The sequence below is a fragment of the Homo sapiens genome, chromosome X (genome assembly GCF_000001405.40).
Source record: "Homo sapiens chromosome X, GRCh38.p14 Primary Assembly".
Lineage (NCBI taxonomy): Eukaryota > Metazoa > Chordata > Mammalia > Primates > Hominidae > Homo > Homo sapiens.
The window spans coordinates 12992483-12998750 of NC_000023.11; positions in this window are offsets into that span (position 1 = coordinate 12992483).

Sequence of the window (6268 nt, forward strand, 5' to 3'; positions counted from 1 at the left end):
GGTTAATTTCTTAGTTGTGACAAGTATACCATGCCATAAGAGTTTAACAATGGAGAAATTGGATGAGGAATAAATGGGAACTCTGTTCTTAAAGTTTATTTCATAAAGCCAAACAACAAAAAGATAACATCTTTTTATTGGATATCGAGTATTCAACATAAATTTGTTTTTTATAATTCAATACTCCTCATGTACTGTTCTTGTGCAGACCAAACGTTAACGTGGTAAAGACCTGTTTTCTATTTGCAGCAGGATATGACAGGTTGTTTAGTGTATAATGCAGCTAAAATCAAGACTATAGGTTTGACAAGGGCTTCTTAATTCTGTTTGATTCCATATTCATAGTCTCAGTCCTAGCTTTGTCCAGAGAGACCTTGTACAAATGTATACTGTTTGAATCGGAGTGGGTAAATGCTCTCTGTCCTCTCCTCCCCAGCCTCCCAGAAAATAACTGAAAGCACATGTTCTCTTGAAGGAGAGCCAGCAGTGCTATCTTTTTGTATGAAGACTTGCTTGATTATAATTAAAACTTTCATTTGACTATTAAAAGTAAAGAACAGCTATAAATTAAGGTAGCAATATTAAAACCTCTGGAGGTAAGTCTAAAAAGCCTCTCTGTAATTAGAGAACTACAAAACTTAAGGAACACTAATTCTTTTCGGCGTCAAGGTCTCATTTTGCCAGGAAGCTGGTATTTTGTAAATTGCAGCTCTTCCAGGGCTGAGGACAGATTTTGATTCTTGCTTATAACTGTTACCTGAAATTTTTTGCCCTTTATGAACTGGGCTATGAATTAGAAGACTGATTTCTTATCCTGATTGAATATGTGAGGATTTGGGTGGCCTAGGTTATGTCATGACCCCTGTAGATTAGAGTTTCCAAATTTGTCTAGCTAGATGTTGGCCTATTAACCTTCTTTGGCTCTTCCAGTTCAAAAGAGTTGAAGTTTTTGTATTAATGAAAATAATACTTCCTAACACCACTTCTCCTTAAAAATAGAAGGCATTAGTTAACCTTGGGCAGTGGATTTGGTTAGTAATAGTTTGTATATTCTTCCCTGCACTTTACCTTTCCAAATGCATGTGTGTATATCTAAATATAAATGTATGTGTGTATACATATATATACATACACATCATACATGTGAACACATACACACATATATAGTCATTTCACTTTAATATGATGAAAAATAAAATAAAAATTTGTATTTGAAACCACAATAAGGACATATACCAATAGATTTCTTATTAAGTCTTACTAAGTTAAACTAGGGAATTGTGGTCTGATGGGCCTTATCCTTCACTTTAAGGAGAATTTTGCCAGGACAATCTGAAAAGTCTAAATTGGCCTTGAGTTCATTCCCTGTCTTTTTCCATTTGACAGTCTTAATATTTGTACTTTCTCTTTATAGATCTTACTCCTTAGTTTTTATCTCTTTTTTTCTCCACTGGATTAAAACAAACAATGAGCTTTAAAAAGAACACTTCTTCTGGTAGATATCTCCAGAGAGCTTATATTTACTTTAAACTGAATTCTTGCCAGACCGCCCAAGTGGATACTCCTGATTTTTCATTATCCATCAACATATTACACCATAATGGATACAATGGCATACAAATTGTGTAGCCAAGCACCAAGCAAAGCCTTGACAGTCCACTAGGACAAGACAGAATTTTGAGAACATTTTTCTGTTTAGTTCTAGAAAAATGGTCCACATCTTTCTCTCTTTCTCTCCCTCCCTCTTTCTTTCCTTTCTCTTCTTTTTGATGTTTGTAAAAGGCAATATTACACCTATAGTAATTTAACACCTAAGAATTTGGACTCTGAGAAATGGGACTGACACTTGCCATGTTTCCCATTGGCTAAGGAGATACCTTTTCTAAGAATATGCAAACACTGGTAATCCAATCCTTTACGTCTTTTAAAGCTACGCTTGTTTGTTTTATAACATAATGCCAGCAGGACGTTAAGGTCAGCTATATCAGAGATTAAACTGTATATTTGCACTCAAAGCAATAGATGAGGAAGTGGAAAAACCAGACGTATGAGTTTGTCCATGATTATCTTAAGTTGGCAGTGATCTGAATATGGCTGGGTCACTTGATTATCTTGGTTGATTGCCACCAATCATATTTAAGGATTCTGCCATCACATGGCCATTTTTCATAATACTGACTTGTGTATGTTAAAGAGTATAAAGGAGCCAGGCCTGATAGTGCATGCCTGTAGTCTCAGTTGCTTGGGAGGCTGAGGTAGGAGAATTGCTTGAGTCCAGGAGATTGAGACCAGCCTAGGCAACATAGTAAGGCCCCGTCTCTAAAAAAAAATTAATTAAATTATTAAAAAATAGTCTAAAGGACTCTGGTAATTTTAATAGACTATCTGGATCTTCAGTTGTAAGAACCACAAGACATATTTCAGTTTCTTGAGTTTATTGTGCAGAATGAAATGCACATGTAGAACCAGTTCCATTAGCAAAAGTCAAATCAGTCTCCTCTTTGAAGATGTAGCATGATTTGTGGACCTGACCATTATAAGGGCATCTTTTGCTAATTTAATACATATCTATATACCTACTGCTACTTTTGTATCCATAACATTTTTTATTCCATAAAGAGAAATACCTTCCACAATGATTAAGTCATTAACTCTGATAGCATCTCATTATAAATCAGGAGTCAGCAATCTCTGGCCCAAGAGCACAAAACGGTTAGCTACCTGTTTTTCTACAACCTGAGAGCTGAGAACAGTATTTACATTTTTAAAGGACTGGAAAACAAATGAAAAGAAGAATACTATTTCTTGGCATGCAGAAATTATATGACATTCTCCTACCATTTGATCCAGCAATCCCATTATTGGGTATATGCCCAAAGGAATATAAATCATTCTATTATAAAGATACATGCACGCATATGTTCACTGCAGCACTATTCACAATATCAAAAATGTGGACTCAACCTAAATGTCCATCAATGGTAGACTGGATAAAGAAAATGTGGTACATATGCACCATGGAATACTATGCAGCCATAGAAAAGAACGAGATCATATCCTTTGTAGGGACATGGATGGAGCTGGAAGCCATTATCCTTAGCAAACTAATGCAGTAACAAAAAACCAAGTACCGTGTGTTCTCACTTATAAGTGGGAGCTAAATGATGAGAACACGTGGACACATAGAGGGGAACAACACACACTGGGGCCTATTGAAGGGTGGAGGATGGGAGGAGGGAGAGGATCTGGAAAAATCATTATTGGGTACTAGGTTAATACCTGGATGACAAAATAATCTGGATGACAAAGCCCTGAGACACAAGTTCATCTGTATAACAAACCTGCCCATGTAGCCCTGAACTTAAAAGTTAAAAAAAAAAAGCATATGAAATTCTCATTTTAGCATCCGTAAGTAAAGCTTTCTTGGCCCACAGCTGTACTCATTTATTTACAGTTTATCTACAGCTGCTTTCCTCTTAAAATGGCAGAGTTGAGTAGCTGCCTCCAAACAGAAAATATTTACTATATGGCCCACTTCAGAAAGTTTGCTGCCCCCTGGTATCAACAAAGTGGTTTTCAGAAGGAACCCTGAGGCGCAGCATGGAATGTGTAGACACGTAAAAATTATGACAATGGACTGACGTGGATTTACAAGCCTAACTTCTCACAGGATGTAATTCCTAGTGGAACACCTTACATGAGCAGAAAAAACAAAAATCTGGAGGAAAAAAAAACAAAGATGGAAAACCTGAACTTTGTGAACTTTTGGAGAGTAGAGCGTGAAGACTGAAGAAATATTGTACATATTGCCAAGATGTGCCCTTTCTCCATAGCACACTTTCCTTCTTAAAGTGGAGCTGGGCAGTCTGGAGGTAAACACTAACCCTGTGCTGATTGACTGATGTATGATGGACATATAACTGTGATTCTAGTCTGAGTAGGAAGTGATGAGAATGGCCTTTGAATGTCTAGTATCTGAAAGCAAACATACATTAGGGGTCCCGTGAGAAGGCTGAGTATCTATCCCTCCATCAATGGCCCCTTAGAAATACTACGGTCACGCTTTAAAAAAGCCTGCCTCCACCTTTGATTTTATAGATATTTTAGTCCATTTGGAAGGGGATAACTAAGATTTAAGTTTCAATACTTGTTGTGACCCCTCCATCAGGGAAGAGATTGGCAGTAGCAGAAGAGGGATGTGGCTAAGAACAACGGTCATCCTTTCTCATTTCCAGAGTGTGTGTGTGTGTCGTGTGTCTCATGTTTTATTTTGGGATATTCTCTTGGTATGGTAGTTCATGTGCATAATTTATAAATATGTAATACATTTTGGTATATATTTGTGTATTCACACTTTTTATGGATACTTCTGTTTGTGTTATCAGTTTACACGTGTCTTGACTTAATTTTCTGTTCCTGTATAACAGATTAGCACATATTCAGTGGCTTCAAAAAACACATTTGTTATTTCATTGTTTCTTCCATTAGAAGTCTGGAAATGGCTTAGCTGGATCCTTAGCTCAGGGTCACACATGGCTGAAATCAAGGTGTCAGCCTGGGCTGGATTCTTATCTGGAAGCTTGGGGTCATCTTCCAAGCTCAAGTGGTTGTTGGCAGAATTCTTTGTCTTGAAGTTGTACAACTCGTGATGACTTGCATCTTCAAGGTCAGCAGAAGAGAGTCTCTATGATTCAGAGAAGGCCTAAGCCCTCTTTTAAAGAATGTCCAACTGATTAAGTCAGGCCCACCCTGGATAATTTTCCATTTGATTCCTTAAAGCTGACTGATTTGGGACCTTAATCACATTTGCAAAACTCCTTCAATTTTGCCATAAAACCTAACATAATCAGGGAGTGACATCGATCACCTTTGTCAAATAACATAACCGAAGAATCATGGTGTAACACCACAGGGCTGAGATTATAGGCACCTGTTGAGCAAGACAAGAGTCAGAGAAATCCAGCTTTAGATCTTAGCTCTCCCACTTTCTAGCCATGTAATTGCACAAGTGACTTAACCTCTCCATGCCTCAGTACTTTCAACTGTAAACTGGAGATCATTCTAGCAACGTGCTAGCATTCTAACACCTACCAGTTTGGGCTGGCTTTGGAATTAAGATTATACTTACAAGAGGTCTAACAGTGTGACTGACAAATAGCAAGTGGTCAATAGGCATCAGATATTTCATTAGATATTCATTTTCATGCATACATATATTTTATTCATAAAACAGAAAAATAATATGAACCGGAATACATGTCACTGGGTCTCCAAGAAAGCAAGACAAAAAAGGCGAAATTAGAATGCAAACTGTCTCATTTCATATTACTTTTGTGGTAAGAACAAGCTAGTTCAATAAGTGGCACTTTAACACAAAGTGAGATACTGTAAAAGCATGTGCATTCAATAACTCTCAGTTGAATTTAAATCTGGACAGAAGTACTTGCTTCTAAATTGTTAGTGGATTCATTGACTTATTTTCCTAGGCTCAAATCATTTATTTAACCAAATTATTCCTTTCCCTTTAGTGTTACCCACAGAAGTATTTTCACATAACAAACATTAGTTTGCCCAGGCGGCCCCTCCCTTCTTCCCCACTCTAAGATAAAGTCTGTTAATATGAAACCAATAAAGTCAACGTGGAAGTACACTTGCCAAAGATCTTGATAAAGTGCTGTGTAGCAAATGGACAAATATGAATAACAAATCCAGGACCTGCAGTTTCTGTACTGAAAAGTAGTTCTGATCCACCTCCTAGTTTCAAGTTAAAAGCCTGCACTAAGCTCTTCTTCTATGAAAGGGAGGAGGAAAAAACAAACACAAACCCCCCAAACAAGAAATCCCTCCCCAAAACACTGCTCTAAATTTGCTCATGTCCTTGGAAGTAAAAAGAAACAATTTCCCCTGATTACAGATTTCCTGATACGCAGAGAATGCACAACCCCAAGTTGCCTCGTGCTCACAACAATGGGGCAGACAGAAATGCACACAGAGCAGGCTTTTGTCCTCTCGGTTATTGTCATCTTATTCCCCAGAATGGCTTCTTGCCTGGTGATGGGCAGAGGGCCTGATTGCTGAGAAACTCTCTTCAGAGGGACTGGTGTGTGGCTGTGGGTGGTGTTTGGGGACACTGGGAAAGGAAAATTCCTGGGAGCAGGGGCTGTACAGTAGCTGCAGTAACTCAGTTGCCCTGGAATTCCTGAAAAGGCTGGGGCTTTGGGCTCTCTTCTATTTCTATCAGAGTGAATAAAAGAGCTAGTTATTCTAA